General features: G+C 50.8%; 6 annotated features.

Annotated features, from left to right (window-relative positions):
• Positions 4299–5186: an enhancer, noted in NCBI's record as "H3K27ac-H3K4me1 hESC enhancer chr14:103040276-103041163 (GRCh37/hg19 assembly coordinates)". NCBI's record gives its function as "activates a minimal SCP1, AML or CMV promoter by ChIP-STARR-seq in primed H9 embryonic stem cells {active_cell/tissue: H9 hESC(primed)}" and the evidence as "EXISTENCE:reporter gene assay evidence [ECO:0000049][PMID:30033119]".
• Positions 5187–6073: an enhancer, noted in NCBI's record as "H3K27ac-H3K4me1 hESC enhancer chr14:103039389-103040275 (GRCh37/hg19 assembly coordinates)". NCBI's record gives its function as "activates a minimal SCP1, AML or CMV promoter by ChIP-STARR-seq in primed H9 embryonic stem cells {active_cell/tissue: H9 hESC(primed)}" and the evidence as "EXISTENCE:reporter gene assay evidence [ECO:0000049][PMID:30033119]".
• Positions 8570–9139: an enhancer, noted in NCBI's record as "NANOG-H3K27ac-H3K4me1 hESC enhancer chr14:103036323-103036892 (GRCh37/hg19 assembly coordinates)". NCBI's record gives its function as "activates a minimal SCP1, AML or CMV promoter by ChIP-STARR-seq in naive H9 embryonic stem cells {active_cell/tissue: H9 hESC(naive)}" and the evidence as "EXISTENCE:reporter gene assay evidence [ECO:0000049][PMID:30033119]".
• Positions 18288–18557: an enhancer, noted in NCBI's record as "active region_9074". NCBI's record gives its function as "activates an Ori minimal core promoter by ATAC-STARR-seq in GM12878 lymphoblastoid cells {active_cell/tissue: GM12878}" and the evidence as "EXISTENCE:reporter gene assay evidence [ECO:0000049][PMID:35858748]".
• Positions 21026–21226: a silencer, noted in NCBI's record as "peak2254 fragment used in MPRA reporter construct". NCBI's record gives its function as "represses an SCP1 promoter by STARR-seq MPRAs in K562 erythroleukemia cells {active_cell/tissue: K562}" and the evidence as "EXISTENCE:reporter gene assay evidence [ECO:0000049][PMID:32103011]".
• Positions 22279–22779: an enhancer, noted in NCBI's record as "H3K4me1 hESC enhancer chr14:103022683-103023183 (GRCh37/hg19 assembly coordinates)". NCBI's record gives its function as "activates a minimal SCP1, AML or CMV promoter by ChIP-STARR-seq in naive H9 embryonic stem cells {active_cell/tissue: H9 hESC(naive)}" and the evidence as "EXISTENCE:reporter gene assay evidence [ECO:0000049][PMID:30033119]".

Raw genomic sequence — 22999 nt, 5'->3', positions numbered from 1 at the left:
CCTCCAAGGTCAGCTCTCTGCTGGTCATGGTTCCTTTGGGGCCAGCCTTATTCGACCCTCAGAACAACCTCAGGAGGCATCCAGGGCAGGAGACATTGCTCCCATCTGACAGACGTGGAGACTGAGGTCCCGAGAGAGGAAGTAACTTTTTCATTTTATTTTTTATTTTTATTTTTGAGAAGGGGTCTCATTTTGTCATCCAGGCTGGAGTGCAGTGGCGTGATCATGGCTCCTGGCAACCTCGACCTCCCAGGCTCAAGCAATCCTCCCTCCTCAGCTTCCCGAGTAGCTGAGACTACAGGTGCACATCATCACTCCCAGCTAATTTTTTGATTTTTAGTAAAGATCTTGTCTCACTATGTTACCCAGGATGGTCTCAAACTCTTGGACTCAAGTGATCCTCCCAGCCTTGGCCTCCCAAAATGCTATCACAGGCACGAGCCACCACACCCAGCCAGAAGTGACTTTTGCAACACCCCACGGGAACTAGTGTGTTATATGCTGATGTAACTGAATACCTGATATGGGTAACTTACAAAGAACAGAAATTTATTTCTCACTGCTCTGGAGGCTGAAAGTCCAAAATAGAGGGGCCTGCATCTGGTAAGACTTTGCACTTCATGAAAGGTACAAAGAAGAGAAAAAGAGAGAGAAAGAAGGGGACTGAATGCGCCCTTATATCATGAACCCTCTCCCACAATAAAAAACCCACTCACTCAAAAATGGCATTAAACTATTCCCAAGAGCAATGCCTGTTGATCTGAACGCTTCCCATTAGGCCCCATGTCCTAACACTGCTGCACTGGGGATCAAGTTTCTACACATGTGTTTTGGGGAATGTATTCAAACCCTAGCATTTCATCCCTGGAATTCATGCTCCAAATTCATGTCTTTCTCACATTCAAAATACATTCCATCCCAATAGCCCCAAAGTCATAGCTTGGTCCAGCACCAATTCAAAAGTTGAGACTTCAGAGTCTCACCTAAATCAGAGATGGGTGAGACGCAGGCACCGTTCATCCTGAGGTCAATTCTCTCCAGCCACAAGCATGTGAAATCAAAGAAGTTATCTACTTTCAAAATACAGGCATAGGCTAAACATTCCCATTCCAAAAGGGAGAAACAGGAAAGAAAGAAGAAGTAACTGGTCCTAAGTAAATCCAAAGCCGAGTAGGCAGACAGCATTAAATCTTTTTTTTTTTTTTTTTTTTTTAGGCAGGGTTTCACTCCTGTTGCCTAGGCTAGAGTGCAATGGCATGATCACGGCTCACTGCAGCCTCTGCCTCCCAGGCTCAAGGAATCCTCTCCCACCTCAGCCTCCTCAGTAGTTGGGATTACAGGTGCCTGCCACCATGCCCAGCTAATTTTTTGTATTTTTTTTGTAGAGACTAGCTTTTGCCATGCTGCCCAGGCTGGTCTCAAACTCGTGAGCTCACACCATCGGCCCGCCTCTTCTGCCCAAAGTGTTGGGATTACAGGCATGAGCCACCGGGCCCAGCCTACAGTTCTTGTCTTGGGGACAGCCTCACTGTCCTCCATCTCCACAAGGCACTGCCCTGGTAGGGGTTCTCTGCAGTGGCTCCACCTCAACAAAAAGTCTCTGCCTGGGCCCCCAGGCTGTAGGTAACATCCTTTGAAATCTCGGTGGAGGAGACCATGGCCCCGCAGCTCTTGCAATCTGCACCTGCAGAATTAGCAGCACATGGTTGCCACTAAGGTTTACAGGTTGTACTTTCCAGAGCAGTGAGTCGAGCGGCACCCGGGCCAGCCTGGGAGGCCGAGACAACCAGATCACGAGGTCAAGAGATGGAGACCATCCTGGCTAACATAGTGAAACCCCATCTCTACTAAAAATACAAAAAGTTAGCCAGGCATGGTGGCATGGTCCTATAGTCCCAGCTACTCGGGAGGCTGAGGCAGGAGAATTGCTTGAACCCAAGAGGTGGAGGTTGCAGGGCCCGAGAATATGCCACTGTACTCCAGCCTGGGCGACAGAGTGAGACTCCATCTCAAAAAAAAAACCCGAAAGTGGCGGCTTGGCCACAGCCTTGATTTGCTCTCCTAAACATGCCTTTCATGCTTTATATGGCCAGGCTGCAAATTTTCCAAATCTCCCCATTTGGCTTCCCTGTTCATTATAATTTCATCTTTAAATCATTTTTCAGCTGGGCAGGGTGGCTCACGCCTGTAATCCCAACACTTTGGGAGGCCGATGCAGGTGGATCACCTGAGGTCGGGAGTTCGAGACCAGCCTGACCAACATGGAGAAACACCATCTATACTAAAAATACAAAAAATTAGCCTGACGTGGTGGCACATGCCTGTAATCCCAGCTACTCAGGAGGCTGAGGCAGGAGAATCGCTTGAACCCAAGAGGCAGATGTTGCAGTGTGCCAAGATCATGCCACTGCACTCCAATGTGGGCGACAAGAACAAAACCCTGTCAAAAAAAAAAAAAATCGGGCTGGGCGCAGTGGCTCACGCCTGTAATCCCAGCACTTTGGGAGGCCGAGGCAGGTGGATCACCTGAGGTCGGGAGTTCAAGACCAGCCTGACCAACGTGGAGAAACCCCATCTCTACTAAAAATACAAAATTAGCCGGGCGTGGTGGCACGCGCCTGTAATCCCAGCTACTCGGGAGGCTGAGGCTGGGAATTGCTTGAACCCGGGAGGCAGAGGTTGCCGTGAGCTGAGATCTCGCCATCGCACTCCAGCCTGGGCAACAAAAGCGAAACTCTGTCTCAAAAAAAAAAAAAAAAAAAAATCCTTTCTCTTTTCTCTAATTTTGCTGTCCACAGTTAAAAGAAGCCAAGTGTCTCTTTCAGTGCTTTGCTGCTTAGAGATTTCAGTTCAAGGCTCTTCAATTCTGCCTTCTGGGTGGGCCTGGTGACTCATGCTTATAATCCCAGCACTTTGGGAGGCTTAGGTGGGAGGATTGTTTGAGCCCAGGCGTTTGAGACCAGCCTGGGCAACATAGGGAGAACCCAGTCTCTAAAGCGATACAAAAATTAGCTGGGCATGGTGGTGTGTACCTGTAGTCCCAGCTACTCGGGAGGCTGAGGTGGGAGGATCACCTGAACCAGGGAGGTCAAGAATGCAGTGAGCCATGATCGCACCACTGCACTCCAGCCTGGGCAATGGAGCGAGACCCTATCTCAAAAAAAAAAAAAAAAAGGAAAAATAATTCTGCCTTTCATAAAATCATCAGGCATAGACAAAATATGGCCAAGTTTGTTGCCACTTTATGTAATAACAAGGATGACCCCTCCTCTAATATCTAATACCTTGTTTCTCATTTTCATCTGAGACCTGTCAGAAGACTCCACTGTCCACATTCCCGCCAGCATTCTGGTCATTATCACTTAAGCAATCTCTAAGAAGTTTTCCACTCTCCCTGTAGCTGTTCTCTTCTGAGCCCTCACCAGAATCCTCCGAATGCTCCCTTTATGGCAATGTCGGCGGTTTCTAGCCTGCTCCTCCGAATTCTTCCAGGCTTAACCCATCACCCAGTTCCAAAGCCTTTCCACATATTCAGGTGTTTGTGACAGCAGCAGCCCCAGTTCTCCATACCAATTTTCTGTCTGAGTCAATGGTGTGTTGCTGTAACAGAATACCTGAGATGGGCAATTAATAAAGAACAGAAATAAATTTATTTTATTTAATTTTTTCATTTTTTTCGAGATGGAGTTTCGCTCTTGTTACCCAGGTTGGAGTGCAGTGGCGCGATCTTGGCTCACTGCAACCTCCGCCTCCCGGTTTCAAGCCATTCTCCTGCCTCAGCCTCCAGAGTAACTGGGATTACAGGCACCCGCCACCAGGCCCAGCTAATTTTTTTTCATGAGGGCAGAGCCCTCACGGCCTAACCACCTCTCATCAGGCCCCACGACCCAACACTGTTCCACTGGAAATTCAGTTTCCAACTTGTGCTTTTTTGGGGAAACATTCCAACGATAGCAGGCCTGGGGGATCAGAACTCAGGAGGCCAAAGTCCCCACCCTCCAGAAGCTCATGGTGTGGCTGGGGAAGCAAACACACCTACAGAGCTCCAGAACACAGCACGGGGGCGGGGCGGGGGGCGGCTGACTCTGCAGCGCCAGGAAGTGAGGGAGCCACCAGCGTCAGAAGCTCCAGATTCCTCCCAGATCAAGGGAGGCCCCACTGTTCCCAAGCAAAGCTGGGGACAGAAGAGCTGGAAGGACATTCCAGAAGGGAGAACAGACTGGGAAAAGGCCCCGAGAGTGAAAGAGTGTGATTTGATCCTAGAAAAACATCTGCCATGGCCATGCTTGAGCTCTGTGCGGAGACGTGGTAGATGATGGAACTGGGGAAGGTGACGGGGCTTGAATGCCAGGCAAAGGTGCTGGGACTCTGTCCTCTAGGACAAGGTGAGCAACCCACAGCTTGTGGGTCAAATCTCGCCCACCACTTGTTTCTGTACAGTCCATGAGCTAAGAATGGTTTTTCACATTTATAAATGGTTGGAAAAAAATCAAAAGAAAAATAATATTTTGTGACACAGAAAAATTGTATGAAATTCACATTTTAGTGTCTATAAATAAAACGTTATTGGAACACAGGCACACCCATTCATTTACATATTACATACGGCGGCTCTTGCACTACAACAGCAGAATCGAGTAATTGGTCCATATGGTCTGAAAAACCTAGAATATTTACTTACTGGGCCGTTCCAGAAAGTTTGTCAACCCCTCCTTTAGGAAGTAGCCACCAGCCAAGACAGTGGTTCCCAAATGGGATTCCAGAGAACACATGTCCCATGAGATGCTCTAGGAGAAAAGGGTCCCCCAGGCTGGGCGCGGTGGCTCACGCCGGTAATCCCAGCACTTTGGGAAACCGAGGCAAGCGGATCATGAGGTCAGGCAATGAAGACCATCTGGGCTAACACGGTGAAACCCCATCTCTACTAAAAATACAAAAAATTAGCCGGGCATGGTGGCGCGCGCCTGTAATCCCAGCTACTCAGGAGGCCGAGGCAGGAGAATCGCTTGAACCCAGAAGGCAGAGGTGCAGTGAGCCGAGATCGCGCCACTGCACTCCAGCCTAGGTGACAGAGCGATACTCCATCTCAAAAAAAAAAAGAAAGAAAAAAAAGAGAAGGGTTCCCCAGTCAAGTATGTCGGCGCTACTCCACCTGCCACCTGCCAGGTGGCCCAGGAAATGCAGTGACAAGTCCTGCACAAAAGAACCTTATTTAACTCCCGTGAGTCTTTAGGGGTGGCCACATATATTCAGACCCTCTCCTCCAGGATCACGGGAGAATTTCACACCCCCTTAAAGTTAGGAATTGCTGAATGACTTGCTTTGCGACTAAAATGTGAGTAGAGGTGACCTGTTATCTCTGGCTGAAGGCTTAAATAGTCAGTGGGGAACCTGCCACTTCCTCTTTCTCTTCCCCATGCCATAGAAGAGAAACTTCATCAGCGTGTGTCCCGGAGTGAGGACGTTTGGAGCAGGAGCACTCACTGCCACCTGTGATGGGCATGAAGCTAGCATCCATGACCAGACTTTTGTGCTGTTGCACCATTACAAAATGAGCACAGGAGGGTGGACGGGAGCTCTCTGTACCCTCCACTTAATTTTGCTGTGAACCTAAAACTGCTCTAAAAATAAAGTCAATTGAAAAAAAAAAAAGAGCAGAGGATCCAAATTGACATTCTCCAAAGAAGATATACAAATGGCTAATAAACACATCAAAAGATATTCACCATTATTAGTCATCACAGAAATGCAAATAAAACCACAATGAGATACCACTTCACACCCACTAGGATGGCTATTAGCAAAAAGACAGACGATAAGAAATATTGGGTCAGCCGGGCGCAGTGGCTCATGCCTGTAATCCCAGCACTTTGGGAGTCCGAGGCAGGCGGATCATGAGGTCAGGAGATCGAAACCATCCTGGCTAACACGGTGAAACCCTGTCTCTACTAAAAATACAAAAAAATTAGCCGGACGTGATGGCGGGCGCCTGTAGTCCCAGCTACTGGGGAGGCTGAGGCAGGAGAATGGCGTGAACCCGGGAGGCGGAGCTTGCAGTGAGCCAAGATCGGGCCACTGCACTCCAGCCTGGGCTAACAGAGCGAGACTCCGTCTCATAAATAAATAAATAAATAAATAAATAATAAAACATATGCCCAGCCAGCTGTGGTGGCTGACACCTGTAATCCTAGCACTTTGGGAGGCCAAGATGGGAGGTTATCTTGAGCTCAGGAGTTCAAGACCAGCCTGGGTGACATGGCAAGACCCCCATCTCTACAAAAAACACAAAAATTCCCTGGGCATGGTTGCTGTGCCTGTAGTCCAGCTACTCAGATGGCTGAGGTGGGAGGAATGCTTGAGCCTGGGAGGCAGGGCTGCAGTGAGCTGTGACCGTGTCCCCGCACTACAGCCTGGGTGACAGAGTGAGACTGTGTCTCAAAAAAAAAAAAAAAAAAAAAGTCTGGGCACAGTGGTTCACTCCTCTCCTGTAATCCTAGCACTTTGGGAGGTTGAGGTGAGATCACTTGAGCCCAGGAGTTCCAGACCAGCAGGAGGCTGAGGTGGGAGGATTGTCTGAATCAAGGAAGCTGAGGCTGTAGCTTGCCATGATCACACCACTGCACTCCAGCCTCGGTAACAGTGAGACCTTGTCTCAAAACAAACAGACAAAAACAAACTGGCCAGGCACAGTGGCTCACGCCTGTAATCCCAGCACTTTGGGAGACCGAGGGGTGGATCACAAGGTCAGGAGATCGAGACCATCCTGGCTAACATGGTGAAGCCCCGTCTCTACTAAAAATACAAAAAACAAGGCCGAGCACAGTGGCTCACGCCTGTAATCCCAGCACTTTGGGAGGCTGAGGCGGGCAGATCACGAGGTCAGGAGTTCGAGACCAGCCTGGCCAATGCGGTGAAACCCCGTCTCTACTAAAAAATACAAAAATTATCTGGGCATGGTGGTGGGTGCCTATAATCCCAGCTACTCAGGAGGCTGAGGCAGGAGAATCACTTGAAACCAGAAGGTAGAGGTTGCAGCGAGCTGAGATCACGCCACTGCACTGTAACCTAGGAGCAAAAGCGAAACTCTCTCAAAAAAAAAAATACAAAAAACATTAGCCGGGCATGGTGGCACGCGCCCGCCCAGCTACTCGGGAGGCTGAGGAGGGGGAATCACTTGAACCCGGGAGGTGGAGGTTGCAGTGAGCTGAGATGACGCCACTGTACTCCAGCCTGGGCGGCAGAGTGAGACCCCGTCTCAAAAATAAATAAATAAATAAATAAATAAATAAATAAATAAAACAAGAAAACACATGCCCACAATTCACACAAAAATATATACACAAATGTTCATAGCTGCATTCATAACAGCCAAAAAGTAGAAACAACTTATGATCCATCAGCTGATGAATGATTAAACAAAATGTGGTATATGGATACAATTGGAACACTATTCAGCTATGAAAAGTAATGAAGGGCAATATGGATAAATCTTGAAAACATTATGCTAAAAAATATAATTGCTAAGCTGGCCTCCATTAAAAATAACCCCCGCAAATCAATCAATCAATCAATAAAAACTGCTCTGCAAAAGATAATATCAAGATGGCAGAGAAGGAAACATCAGGAAATGGTCTTCCTGCCTAAACAATTACACTGGCAGAATCTGCCTGATGTGACTATTTTGAAACTCTGGAGTCTACTGAAGGCTTGTAACTTCCAGGGGAAGGCTTGGATGGTAAAGTGCAGTTAATTTTGCTCAATTTCAGCTCTTAGCAGTTTGGCAGCTACCCATTTCCCAGCCCAGCCTGCAAAGCAGGCAGTAGATGCAGGTGGTCCTGGACCGGCTTGCACACAGCTTGCAGGAGCCAGAGTGGGCAAATGCAGCCTGTCCTCCAGATAACAGGCATCTGTGCTGTGATAACTGACTGCTGCCTGTGGGGTTAGGATATATATTTGTGCACAGATCCTGGTTGATAACTCCTAAAGACCTTGTTATAGTCTCTTTTCAAATTTTTTTGAGACAGAGTCTGGCTCTGTCCAACAGGCTGGAGTGCAGTCGCAGAATGGGTCACTGCAATCTCTGCCTCCCAGGCTCAAGCGATTGATCCTCCCACCTCAGCCTCCTGAGTAGCTGAAACTACAGGTACATGCCACCACACCTGGCTACTGTTTGTATTTTTTGTAGCTACAGGGTCTCACTTTATTGCCCAGGCTGGTCTTGAATTCCGGGATTCCGGGATTCAAGTGATCCACCTGACTCGTTGTCTCAAAGCGTTGGGATTACAGGCCGTGAGCTACTGAGACTGGCCTTTTATTTATTTATTTATTTATTTATTTATTTATTTATTTATTTTAAATTTGAGATGAGATCTCCCTATCTTGCCTAGGCTGGTCTCGAACTGCTGGGCTGAGGGATTCTCCCTCAGTGCTAGGGTTACAAGCATGAGACACTGCAAAGTCCAGTCTTTTCATACAACGCTGGGAGTGTTCAGCCTCAAGGACAGACCTCTGACCTTCTCCTTCCCTCCTTTCATCTGCCCCAAGGCAGGACTTTAATCCTCCCCACCTTTCTCATTGTGAGGCTTTGGACCCTCCCCAGAGAGGCCCTATACCCTGGGGGAAGGAATGCTGAACTCTGAAGCTTCCATATGCTAACACTTTGGGAGGCCAGGTGGGGCAGATCACTTGAGGCCAGGAGCCTGGCTAACATACCAAAACCTTGTCTCTACTAAAAATACAAAAATAAGGCGGGGCATGATGGCTCACGCTTGTAATCCCAGCACTTTGGGAGGCCAAGGTGGGCACGTCACGAGGTCAAGAGATCGAAACCATCCTGGCCAAAATGGTGAAACCCCGTCTCTACTAAAAATACAAAAATTAGCTGGGCATGGTGGTGCACACCTGTAGTCCCAGCTACTCGGGAGGCTGAGGCCGGAGAATCTCTTGAACCCAGGAGGTGGAGGTTGCAGTGAGCCGAGATCGCGCCATTGCGCTCCAGCCTGGGTGACAGAGCGAGACTCCGTCTCAAAAAAAAAAAAAAAAATAAGAGGGGCGTGGTGGTGTGCACCTATAATCCCAGCTACTCAGGTGGCTGAGGCAGGAGAATCGCTTGAGCCTGGGAGGCTGAGGTTGCAGTAAGCCGAGATCGGGCCACTGTTATCCACTATGGGTGACAGAGCCAGACCGTGTCTCAAAAACAAACGGCCAGGCGCGGTGGCTCATGCCTGTAATCCCAGCACTTTGGGAGGCAGAGGTGGGCGGATCACCAGGTCAGGAGTTCGAGACCAGCCTGGCCAACATGGTGAAACCCCGTCTCTACTAAAAATACAAAAAAAATTAGCTGGGCATAGTGGTGTGCGCCTATAGTGCCAGCTACTCAGGAGGCTGAGGCAGGAGAATCGCTTGAAACAGGGAGGCAGAGGTTGCAGTGAGCCAAGATCGCACCATTGCACTCCAGCCTGGGCGACAGAGTGAGACTCCGTCTCAAAAAAAAATAAAAATTAAAATTAAAAAAACCCTAAGGACAAGATTCACAGAACTTCAACCCCTGGGGTAGGGCATGGAAGTGCCATACGTGTTCCCTATAGCTGTATTTATAGTTCTATAGCTATAGCTCTCTTTATCTGTATCCTCCTTTGTAATATGTATGAGGCTTGACTCTGAGACCTAACACACTCAACAGTCTTTTTTTTTTTTTTTTGAGACAGAGTCTCACTCTGCTGCCCAGGCTGGAGTCCAATGGCATGGCCCGATCTCGGCTCACTGCAACCTCTGCCTCCTGGGTTCAAGTGATTCTTCTGCCTCAGCCTCCCCAGTAGCTGGGAGTACAGGCACACGCCACCATGCCTGACTAATTTTGTGTTTTTAGTAGAGATGGGGTTTCACCGTGTTGGCCAGGCTGCTCTTGAACTCCTGACCTTAGATAATGATCCGCCTGCCTCGGCCTCCCAAAGTGCTGGGATTACAGGCATGAGCCACCACGCCTGGCCCATTCTTTTATTTTTGAGACAGGGTCTGGCTGTATCGCCCGGGCTGGAGTGTAGTGGCTCGATCTCAGCTCACTGAAGCCTCCACCTCCCAGACTCAAGTGATCCTCCAGCCTCGGCCTCCCGAGTAGCTGGGATTAGAGGAGTGCACCACCACGCCGTGCCAGTTTTTGTATTTTTTGTAGAGACCGTGTTTTTCCAAGTTGCCCAGGCTGTCTCGAACTCCTGAGGTCAAGCAATCCACCAGCCTAGGCTTCCCAAAGTGCTGGAATTACAGGCATGAGCCACTGCGCCTGGCCACACCCAACATTCTATCCAAAGACTGTAACAAGGGCTATGGGAACTAAGAGCCAGGAACCAAGGATGAAACCCAAAATATATATATAACACCACAGATGTCTCCATCTGTATCCATTACAATGAACCAGTAAATGTAAGGAAGTGTGTCTTCGTGTTCTGTGAGCTGCCCCAGTAAATTAACAGAACCCAAAGAGGGGGATGTGGGAACCCCAACTTGAAGCTTGTAGGTCACAAGTTCCAGGGGCCCCAACGTGGGACTGGTGTGTGGGGCTGTGACGGGGGAGGCTTGGGGAGTGCGCCCTCACTCCATGGGATCTGATGCTATCTCCAGTTAGCCTCAGAACTGGACTAGGGGACGCTCAACTGGCTCTTCTGCTTGGTGTATGGGGAAAACTCCACAAATTTGGCCACAGAAGCTTTCTTCTGTGTTGATGATTGTGGTGGTGGTATGAGAGGAGAGGACAAACAGGGTTTGAGAGACTTTCCGGAAACACTGCTTCAGATCCTGGAGGTGCAGAGGAAGAGGCAAGAAGCCACGGAGGTTGTGCTCCTCCCCAACTGGGGTAGGCTCCTCCCCTTCCAACTCAAGCCACCACCAGGTGATTTAAAGGGCCAGTGCCCTGCCCCCACTACTTTTTTTTCCTTTTTGGGAGCCAGACATTAAAGATCAGAACATTCGGCCAGGCACTATGACTCACACCTATAATACCAGCACTTTGGGAGGCCAAGGGAGATGGATCACCTGAGACCAGGAGTTCAACAGCCTCCTGGCTAACATGGTGAAACCCCCGTCTCTACTAAAAATACAAAAATTAGCCAGGAGTGGTGGTAGGCGCCTGTAATCCCAGTTACTAGAGAGGGTGAGGCAGGAGAATTGCTGCAACCTGGGAGGTGGAGGTTGCAGTGAACCGAGATTGCGCCACTGCACTCCAGCCTGGGACACAAAGCGAGACCTTGTCTCCAAAACAACAAAAAAAAAAGATTAGAAACTCAAAAAAAAACTGCACATACAAGGAAAATTAGAAAGTGACTGCGCAGTGCATGGCCAGAGAAAGGCACAGACTCAGAAAAGCTAGAGGGTTCATTAAGATGGTATTTCAGGCTGATCTTTGGCACAGAGACAGCTTACAAAAACAATAAACACAAATGCAAACAAACAAAAACAATAACAAAAAACTCCATGGAGCCCGTCGGGTGGCTCACGCCTGTAATCTCAGCACTGTGGGAGGCTGAGGTGGGCGGATCTGCAGGATCACCTGAGGTCGGGAGTTTGAGACCAGCCTGGCCAACGTGGAGAAACCCCATCTCTACTAAAAATACAAAATTAGCCAGATGTGGTGGCGCATGCCTGTAATCCCAGCTACTTGGGAGGCTGAGGCAGGAGAATGGCTTGAACCCGGGAGGCGGAGGCTGTGGTGAGCTGAGATCATGCCACTGCACTCCAGCCTGGGCAACAAGAGTGAAACTCCATCTCAAAAAAACAAAAAACAAAAAAACAAAAACAAAAACAAAAAACCATGGAGAAAGACAAGAATCGGCCGGGCGAAGTGGCTCATGCCTGTAATCCCAGCACTTTGGGAGGCCGAGGCAGGCAGATCACGAGGTCAGGAGTTCGAGCTACTTGAGAGACTGAGGTGAGATGGTGGCTTGAGCCCAGAAAACAGGGGTTGCAGTGAGCTGAGATTGCGCCACTGCACTCCAGCCTGGGCAATAGAGCCAAACCCACCAAACCCTGTCCCAAAAAAGAAAAAAATAAATAAATTTACAAATTAGCTGTACATGGTGGTACACAGCTGTAATCCCAGCTTCTCAGAAGGCTGAGGTAGGAAAATCACTGGAGTCCAGGAATTTGAGGCAGCAGTGAGCTATGATCACGTCACTGCACCCTAGCCTGGGTGACAGAGGGAACCCTGTCTCATAAGAAAAAAAAAAAACAAACAGGCTGGGCACAGTGGCTCACGCCTGTAATCCCAGCACTTTGGGAGGCCGAGGCAGGCGGATCACGAGGTCAGGAAATTGAGACCATCTTGGCTAACACAGTGAAACCCTGTCTCTATTAAAAATACAAAAAAAAAGAAAATTAGCCTGGCGTGGTGGCAGGCGCCTGTAGTCCCAGCTACTTGGGAGGCTGAGACAGGAGAATGGCATGAACCCTGGAGGTGGAGCTTGCAGTGAGCCGAGATCACCCACTGCACTCCAGCCTGGGCAACAGAGCGAGACTCTGTCTCAAAAAAGAAAAGAAAAAAAACAACAAAAAAAGAAAATTTCGCTAAAAGGATTCGAAGGTAGATTCGAGGAGGCAGAAGAATCAGTGAACTTGAAGAAAGGACAGTGGGGCTGGGCATAGTGGCTCATGCCTGTAATCCCAGAACTTTGGGAGGCCAAGGCGGGTGGATCACTTGAGGCCAGGAATTTGAGACCAGCCTGGTTAACATGGTGAAACCCCGTCTCTATTACAAATATAAAAATTAGCTGGGCGTGGTGATGGGCGCCTATAATCCCAGCTACTCAAGAGGCTGCGGCAGGAGAATCGCTTGAACCTGGGAGGCGGAGTTTGCAGTGAGCTGAGATCTCAACACTGCACTCCAGCCTGGGCAACAGGGTGAGACTCCATCTCAAAAAAAAAATTAGCCAGGCTTGGTGGCACAGGCCCCACCTACTTGAGGGGCCTAGGTGGATGATCATTTGAGCCTGGGAGGTCAAGGCTACAGTGAGCTGTGGTCACACCTCTGCACTCCAGCGTAGGCAACAGAGCGGGAAACTGTATCTCAAAAACAAAACAAAACAAAAAATTTTTAAAAAGTCACAAGAGACATAGGACATTATATAGTAACAAAAGGTTTAACACCGCAAGAAAATATAACAATTCTATACATTTATGGACTGTGATGACTATTTTTAGGTGTCAATTTGACTGGATTAAGGGATTTCTAAATAGCTGATAAAGTATCATTTCTGGGTCTGTCTGTGATAGTATTTCCCCAGAAACTAGAGGAGGTTGGTAGTGAGTCAGTGGACTGAGTGGGGAAGATCTATCTACCTTCGATACAGGGTCGGGAGAGGGCACCATCCAATTGTCTGAAGGCCAGATGGGACCAGAGATGGATGACGGGTGTATTAGTCCATTCTCACTGCTATAAAGAAATACCTGAGACTGGGTAATTTATAAAGGAAAGAAGTGTAATTGATTCACAGTTCCGCCTGGCTGGGAAGCCACAGGAAACTTACAGTCATAGTGGAAGGCAAAGGGGAAGGAAGCTTGGACCTTCTCACATGGCGGCAAGAGAGAGAGGAGTGAGGAGCAAAGGGGGAAGAGCCCCTTGTGAAACCGTCACCTCTCATTAGAACTCACTCACTATCTTTTTTTTTTTTTTTGAGACGGAGGCTTGCTCTTTTGCCCAGGCTGGAGTGAAGTGGTGCAATCTCGGCTCACTGCAACCTCCGCCCTCCCCCGTGTTCAAGCTATTCTCCTGCCTCAGCCTACCAAGTAGCTGGGATTACAGGCACCCACCACCAAGCTTGGCTAACTTTCCTATTTTTAGTAGAGATGGGGTTTTGCCATGTTGGCTAGACTGATCTCAAACTCCTGACCTCAGGAGATCCACCCACCTCGGCCTCCCAAAGTGCTGGGATTACAGGTGTGAGCCACTGTGCCCAATCATCTGGGGCTAGGAGTTTGAGCCCGGCCAACATGGCAAACCCCATCTCTAATAAAAATACAAAAATTAGGCTCACGCCTGTAATCCCAGCCCTTTGGGAGGCCGAGGTGGGCAGATCACGAGGTCAGGAGTTGGAGACGAGCCTGGCCAACATGGTAAAACCCCATCTCTACTAAAAGCACAAAACATTAGCTGGGTGTGGTGGTGGGCACCTGTAATCCCAGCTACTTGGGAGTCTGAGGCAGGAGAATCACTTGAACCCGGGAGGCAGAAGTTGCAGTGAGCTGAGATTGTGCCACTCCACTCCAGCCTGGGCAACAGAGCGAGACTCCATCTCAAAAAAAAAAAAAAAAATTAGCCAGGCATGGTGGCACGCACCTGTGGTCCCAGCTACTTGGGAGGCTGAAGCAGGAGAATTGCTTGAGCCTGGGAGGCAGAAGTTGCAGTGAGCTGAGATCACACCACTGCATTCCAGCCTGGGCGAAAGAGCAAGACTGTTAAAAAAAGGATGGAAGGAAGGAAGGAAGGAAGGAAATCATTATCAGAAGGAAAACTGGAAAACTTACAAAACTCTGGAAATTAAACAACATACATCAAAGAAGAAATAACAAGGGACATTAGAAAATGTTTAGAGACAAATGAAAATAAAAACACACCCAGACATGGTGGCTCATGCCTGTAATCTCAACACTTTGGGAGGCTGAGAGGGGAGGATCACTTGAGGCCAGGAGTTTGAGACTGGCCTGGGCAATGAGGCAAGACCCTATCTCTATAAGAAATAAAGTAAAATAATAAACAACAACATAGGCGGGGTGCGGTGGCTCATGTGTGTAATCCCAGCACTTTGGGAGGCCAAGGCAAGCGGATTACAAGGTCAGGAGATCCAGACCATCCTGGTCAACATGGTGAAACTCTCTCTACTAAAAATACAAAATTAGCTGTGCGTGGTAGCACATGCCTGTAGTCTCAGCTATTTGGGAGGCTGAGAGGAAAATCGCTTGAACCTGGGAGGCAGAGGCTGCAGTGAGCCAAGATGATACCAGTGCACTCCAGCCTGGGTGAGATAAAGTGAGACTCCATCTTGAAAAAAGAAAAAAAGAAAACAAATAACTTGATTGAGAAATGGACCAAAAACCTTAACAGATTTCTCAAGAAAAGATACACAGGTGGGCATACAAGCAAACAAAAAGACGTTCCACATTATATGTCATCAGGGAAATGCAAATTAAAACAACTGTAACACCACACACCTATTAGAGTGGCCAAAATTCAGAACATTGACAACACCAAATGCTGACAAGGAAGTGGAGCAACAGGAACTCTCATTCCCTGCTGGTGGGAATGCAAAATGGTCCAGCCACTCTTGAAGACAGTTTGGCAGTTTCTTACAGAACTAAACATACTCTCACTGGGCACGGTGGCTCACGCCTGTAATCCCAGCACTTTGGGAGGCCAAGGCAGGCAGATCACGAGCTCAGGAGTTTGAGACCAGCCTGACCAACATGGTGAAACCGTGTCTCTACTAAAAATACAAAAATTAGCCAGGTCTAGTGGCCGGCACCTGTAATCCCAGCTACTCATGAGGCTGAGGCAGGAGAATTGCTTGAACCTGGGAGGCGGAGGTTGCAGGGAGCCAAGATCACACCACCGCCCTCCAGCCAGGGTGACAGAGCAAGACTCCGTCTCAAAATAAACAAACAAACAAACAAACAAAAAACTAAACATACTCTTACCATGTAGTCTAGCAACGGTGCTCCTTGGTATTCACCCAAAGGAGTGAAATATTTATGTTCACACAACCAAAGCACGTCTATTCATAACTGCCAAAACCTGGAAGCAACCAAGATGTCCTTTAGTAGTCAAATAGAGAAATAACTCTAGGCCAGGTGCGGTGGCTTATGCCTGTAATCCCAGCACTTTGGGAGGCCGAGGCGGGTGGATCACTTGAGCTCAGGAGTTTGAGACCAGCCTGGCCAACATGGCGAAACCCCATCTCTGCTAAAAATACAAAAATTAGCCAGATGTGGGGGCGCACCCCTGTAGTCCCAGCTACTCAGGAGGCTGAGGCAGGAGGATCGCTTGAACCCAGGAGGCGGAGGTTGCAGTGAGCCATGATTGTGCCACTGCACTCCAGCCTGGGCGACAGAGCGAGACTCCGTCTCAAAAACAAAACAAAACAAAACAAAAACTATTCTGCATAAAACCCTAATGGTGGAGACAAGTCATTATACATTCGCCCGAACGCGTGAAGCATCCGGCAGGAAGAGGGAACCCTCATGGAAACCCTGGACTTCCGGTGATGATGTGGCCCTGTAGGTTCCTCAGTTGTAACAAATGTGCGGCTCCAGCGGGGGATGTTGATTGTGAGGGAGGCTGTGCATGTGTGGGGGCAGAGGTACATGGGAACTCTCTGTACCTTCTGCTTAATTTGGCCGTGAACCTCAGGCAGCTCTGAAAAAAAAAGCTTTCTTTTTTTTTTGAGACGGAGTCTCACTCTGTCCCCAGGCTGGTGCAATCTGGGCTCACTACAAACTCCGCCTCCCGGGTTCACACTATTCTCCCGCCTCAGCCTCCCAAATAGCTGGGACTACAGGCACCCGCCACCACGCCTGGATAATTTTTTGTATTTTGGTAGAGACGGGGTTTCACCATGTTAGCCAGGATGGTCTTGATCTCCTGACCTTGTGATCCACCCGCCTCGGCCTACCAAAGTGCTGGGATTACAGGCGTGAACCACCGCGCCCAGCCAGCTTTCTTTTTCTTTGAGACGGAGTCTCGCTCTGTCTCTAGGCTGGAGTGCAGTGGTGGGCTCTTGGCTCACTGCAACCTCCAACTCCCTGGTTCAAGCAATTCTCCTTCCTCAGCCTCCTGAGTAGCTGGGATTACAGGCATGCACCACCACGCCCGGATAATTTTTGTACTTTTAGTAGAGACGGGGTTTCATCATGTTGGCCAGGATGTTCTGGATCTCCTGACCTCGTGATCGGCCCGCCTCGGCCTCCCAAAGTGCTGGGATTACAGGCACAAACAACTGCACCCAGCCAATAAAAGCTATTTTTAAAAAGTTTTGCTAAGTGAAAGAAGTCAGTCACAAAAGGCGACGTCATATGGTTTCATTTATATGAAATGTCCAGAACACGCAAACCCATAGAGATGGAAAGTGTGTGAGTGGTTGCCAGGGGCTGGGCAGAGCAGGTAAATGGAGAGTGGTTACTAATGGGTACATGGTGTGTTTGGAGGGTGATTAAAATGTTCTTTTTTTTTTTTTTTTTTTTCTGAGACAGAGTCTCACTCTGTCGCCCAGGCTGGAGTGCCGTGGTGCAATCTCGGCTCACTGCAACCTCTGCCTCCTGGGTTCAAGCGATTCTCCTGCCTCAGCCTCCAGAGTAGCTGGGATTACAGGCGCCCTCCACCATGCCCAGCTAATTTTTGTATTTTTAGTAGAGGGGGGTTTCACCATGTTGCCCAGGCTGGTCTCAAACTCCTGACTTCAGGTGATCTGCCCGCCTTGGCCTCCCAAAGTGCTAGGATTACAGGCGTGAGCCACCGCGCCCGGCCTCGAAAATGTTCTAAAATTGATTGTGGTGATGGTTGCACAACTCTGCGAATATACCATCCACCACAGAGAGCTGCACGCTTTAAAATGAATTGTGTGATATGTGAATTAGATCTCAATAAAGCTGTTTTATCTCAAAAAATCTACAGGTTGGCCGGGTGCGGTGGCTCATGCCTGTAATCCCAACACTTTGGGAGGCCGAGGCGGGTGGATCACTTGAGGTCAGGAGTTCGAGACCAGCCTGGCCAATATGATGAAACCCCATCTCTACTAAAAGTACAAAAATTAGCCAGGTTTGGTGGTGCACGCCTGTAATCCCAGCTACTTGGGAGGCTGAGGCAAGAGAATAACTTGAACCTGGGGAGTGGGGGTTGCAGTGAGCTGAGATAGCACCACTGTGCTCCAGCCTTAGCAATTGAGCGATACTCTGCCTCAACAAGAACAAAAAAAAGTCTGTAGGAAATTATAAAAAAAGAGACTGGAGTTGTTTGTTACCACCACATATCCTAGCCCATCCTGCCTCACCTCACTCAGGGAAGAGGAAGAGACTTGCCCAGACCACGTGACTAGTGAGCAGCAAGGCTGGGTGTCCACCCCGGCTGCAGTGCCCCTGTCGTGGAGTGGGGACACTGGCCCTGGTGGGCCTGGGTCTGGGGTGCCTCCTTGGCTGGGGTTCTGGCGTCTGAGTGAGCTCCTGCATGAGCCGCTGGGGCATCTCCTCTACTGCACCTGGCCCCCTGCCTCCCAGAGGGCAGCTGTGGCTTCCTGGAGACATTGCTCAGCAGCTGGTGTGCAGGGCACAGCTGAATCCCCAAATAAAACCGCAGCCACCCCCAATGAGTTCCTAACTCGTCCAAAGACATAGAGCCAGCTTCCCCTTGGGGTCCGGCCTGGGGCAAGGCCCTTCTGGAGGTCATCTCAGCCAATCTCCTAGGTGACTCCAGTCGGAGTACAGGCCTCAGTCAGCCACGCATCCTGTGCCTGCTTGCTGCAGTCCTGGGCTGGGTGCAGTCCTGGGTGCTGGGACCCACAGCGAGGGCTGCAGCTCACACCGGTGTCTCACTCTCCACCAGATGCTCCGGCCCAGCCCCCAAGCTATCTGACTGCACCCAACCTAGCTCCAAAACTTCAGTGAAAGACTGAAGCTTCTTAGTCAGGCATTTAGGGCCTTGCGGGCTGGTTTTCGCCAGCCTCTCCTATCTCTTCTCCCACCACCCATGTGCCTTGGACTCTGGAGAAGGGAGAGTGACCCCAGCCTGTTCCTGGAACAGGCCCTGCCCCATCCCATCCTCTTGTTGGCTCACTGTGTTCCCTCCTCTGGAACACCTTTCCCCCGCATGGCTAGTTTGTCCCAGTCTCCAAATCCCTGAGGCTGGACAATGGGGAGCCAGGGTTGGGGAAGCTGAGAGACCCCTGGCTCTGTCTCCACTGGGGGAGGGTGTGTGGCAGTCGAGGTGGTGACCAAGGTGCAGTGCTAGTCAGAGCGAACCCAGCTGAGCACCAGCCGCGAGCCAGGGGATTGCCAAGGACTTCCCACGGCTGAAGCTATCCACTGCCACGGAGCCGACATCTCGTGGCAAGCAGCTTGCTCAGGGTCACTGAGTGAGAAGGCGGCACGGCAGGGACTGCGACCAGGACCCCAGAGCTGTCCTGTGAATCTTGGTGCCGCTTTCCCTCCAACTGAGGCAGCCACCCTGGCTTCTGCCCCATTACTTACCAGCACAGGGCCTCTGTTTCCCCATGCACAATGGGACTGAAGAACCTAAAGTTTTTTCCTACTTAGACACTCCCAAGTTACATTATCCCACAAATACCCCAGGCCCGCTCACTCGGAGCCAGCCCCAGCCTTCGTGTAGGAATTTATTTTATTTTATTTTTGAGACGGAGTCTCACTCTGTCTCTCAGGCTGAAGTGCAGTGGCTCAATCTTGGCTCACTGCAACCTCCACCTCCCGGGTTCAAGCGATTCTCCTGCCTCAGCCTCCTGAGTAGCTGGATTACAGGCACATGACACCATGCTCAGCTAACTTTTTGTGTTTTTAGTAGAGAGGGGGTTTCACCATGTTGGCCAGGATGGTCTCGATCTCTTGACCTCGTGATCTGCTCGTCTCAGCCTCCCAAAGTGCTGGGATTACAGGCGTGAGCCACTGCGCCTGGCCTCGTGTAGGAATTTAAAGCTGAAGGAGGCGACATGTGAACCTAGAGGTGAAGAACAATTTGCCAGGCATGTGAGGGTGGGAAGGGTGTTCCAAGCACTAGGAACAGGATATGCCTAGGCAGGGGAGAGACCAGTGTCAGCACAGTCCCCAGCCCTCAGGACCCTGCAGTGGGGAGAGACAAGCTCACTCCCTGTCCTCCTGGGCCACTTAAGAAGCAGGCAGGGCTGGGTACGGTGGCTCACGCCTGTAATCCCAGCACTTTGGGAGGCCGAGGCGGGCGGATCACGAGGTCAGGAGATCGAGACTATCCTGGCTAACATGCTGAAACCCCGTCTCTACTAAAAATACAAAAAAAAAAAAACTAGCCCAGCGTGGTGGCGGGCGCCTGTAGTCCCAGCTACTCAGGAGGCTGAGGCAGGAGAATGGCGTGAACCCAGGAGGCGGAGCTTGCAGTGAGCCGAGATCGCGCCACTGCACTCCAGACTGGGTGACAGAGCGAGACTCCATCTCAAAAAAAAAAAAAAAAAAAAAGAAGCAGGCAGTGGGTGGGGAGCCAGGGTGAGGCTGGCAGGGCAGCCTTCCTCATGACCTGCCACTGAGGTCTTGAGCCCCTGTGACCCAGAGAGTTGGGTTAGCCTTGGCCCAGAGGCCCAGAGAGGGCAAGACACCCTGGAGCCACTCAACAGGCAGGGCCCTGAGGGTGCAGGCCCAGCTCACAGCCATCTCTGTCCTCCCGGCCCTGATGGCCTGTTTCCAGAGGCCGCCACAGAACATGCCTGCTGCCTGAGGCTTGGGTATATAAGTGAGGGCCTCCTGGCTGCCTGATATACTCCGCTGTGATCACACAGTGAAGTTCCATAGTCCATTCTCATTCCCTTCATGCCTCGACTGCCAGGAAACTCATAGCTAAGTTTTTGGGGTTTTTTTTTAATACGGGGCCTCACTCTGTCACTCAGGCTGGAGTGCAGTGGTGCAATCACTGCTCACTGCAGCCTCGACCTCGGGCGTAAGCGATCCTTCCACCTCAGGCTCCCTGGTAGGTAGCTGGGACCACAGGCTAATTTGTTTATTTTATTTTATTTTTATTTTTTGTAGACACAGGGTTTCACTCTGTTGCCCAGGCTGGTCTAGAACTCCTGAACTCAAGGGAGCCTTCTGTCTTGGCCTCCCAAAGTGCTGGTATTTCAGGTGTGAGCCACCATGGCTGACCACAGCTATGTCTGATGCCTGATTACTAATCATTAATGTCCTAGAATTGGGTAAATGCCTATCTCCCACTAATCTTGGTTGTTCAAAATTATCTATGTCTATTCTTACAAATTGATTGTTTCTGAATTTCTGTAGACTGCATCTTTCTGGAAGACTGAGAGGTATGAATCACAAATTATACGTAAGGCAAACCCAGCATATTCCTGGGACCTGTGTGAACAAGTCTTGGGCCTGTTTATTATGGCCGGGCAGGAGACCCCGCCACGCCCTTCTGTGCTCCTGCTGTCTAGAGGCTGAGCCCTACAGCCCAGGTCCTGACTGCACTCAATGCAGCCTCCCTTTCAGGTGGGCTCATCTTCCCGCAGCTGCCAAAGGTCAGGGCCCCTTTGCCCAGGCTGTGTCCCTACCTGAATGCCCTTCTACCCCTTCCAGTCTAGCTCGGTCTGGGCTGCAGGCTCGGCTGGAGGGCACTCTAACCACAACCCCCAGGTGACCAGGGTGCTCCCTCCATCCTCGTGTGAATGGGGTGGTCAGGCCATATCGTGGGCATTTCCTGAGCTTCCACAGAAGCAATGCCAAGGTTTGGTCTTCCACCTCAAAGCTGGGCCCCGCACACGTGATGTGAGTCCAGGGGTTCACAGAGAGGCTGGCCCTAGTGAGAGTGGGGCTGGGGGCCCTAGGGCTACCCCTGATGGGGAGGGGAACTCCCATCCCTGGGAGAGGGGCATGAGGATCTCTGAGCATGGAGGACCACACACATCTCTTCATTGTGTGGCCCTCCCTGCCTCCCGGCACCCACATCCATGAGCTGGGTGATCCCTGCGGTTTGTTGATTGGCTGACTGATCCTTGGCAGGGCTGACACCGATGCCCCCCACGGCTGGGCAGGGGATGCTGGGACCAATAGAGGTCCCCATGGTGTCACAGGCAGCTCCTTAGACACTCCAAGCGAGTTCAGGTGCCAAGGTACCAAGGAAAAAGGAGACAGCAGGCCGAGAGACCAGAATCTGGGGGGCCTGAAGGCTACCAGGGAGAGGGGAGGCTTCAGGGCAGGAGGACGCCCACTGTCTGACAGGTTTTATCCACACCATGTCCCAGCTGCAGCGGACAAGGTCCTGTCTCCTGGCAAGAGAAAGCAGGCTCAGAGTGGCAGGCTTTACCTCAGGACACCGCAGGGAGGGCACTACACCTGGGGCCGGTCCTAGCACTCTCAGTGAACCCGTCAAGTCAACCAGTCTGTCCCCTGAGGGGTGGGCTGGACCAGCGGAGCCATCCAGACTCCCCACTCCTCTGCCTTTTTTGTTGTTGTTTTGGAGACAGTCTCGCTCTGTCACCCAGGCTAGAGTGCAATGGCATAATCTTGGCTCATTGCAACCTCCGCCTCCTGGGTTTGAGCAATTCTCCTGCCTCAGCCTCCCGAGTAGCTGGGATTACAGGTGCAAACCACCATGCCTGGCTAATTTTTGCATTTTTAGTAGAGATGGGGTTTTACCATGTTGGCCAGGCTGATCTTGAGCCCCTGACCTCAAGTGATCCACCTGCCTTGGCCTCCCAAAGTGCTGGGATTACAGGTGTGAGCCACCGTGCCCGGCCAAGCAATGTCCCTTCCACCTCACCCCATCCCCACTGGTCAGAACTGCAGGGAAACCCAGTCTCTGGCAGTGTGGTGGTTCTGACCAGTGGAGGTGGGGTGGTGAGGGGCGCCGGGGCCAGCAGCTGTTGAGAAGCCACTGACCCTATGCCTGCGACACGCCTGGTGGGCCCAGTCCTGGGTCCATGGGCTCTGGGGGGCAGAGATCAGGCCCAATCCTCCTTGGGCCCCACTGCACCCTAGAGCAGCTGATGGTGACTGAGACGAGGCCTTGGAGATCCTAGGCTGGGAGGGCCCAGGTTGGACCTGCCAGGTTCGCTGTCCTCAGCCAGGCCAGGTGTAGGGCTAACCACAGCACTGGCGGGATCATGGCCCTGCCCCACTGCCCAGCCCAAGCTGGGAGCAGGCAACCTGGGCCTGGACAGGTGCGGGTCACCCACCCTCACCCTCACCTCAGCCTCAGCCTCCTCCTCCAGATGCCAGATGCTGGAGGCGGAGGCGGCCCCTCACAACTCCTCAGGCCCCTCCGGGACGCTGTGGG

The sequence above is a fragment of the Homo sapiens genome, chromosome 14 (assembly GCF_000001405.40).
Source record: "Homo sapiens chromosome 14, GRCh38.p14 Primary Assembly".
In the NCBI taxonomy this organism is placed as follows: domain Eukaryota; kingdom Metazoa; phylum Chordata; class Mammalia; order Primates; family Hominidae; genus Homo; species Homo sapiens.
Note: the sequence above shows the minus strand (reverse complement) of the source record. Positions and strands in the feature narration are given on the sequence as shown.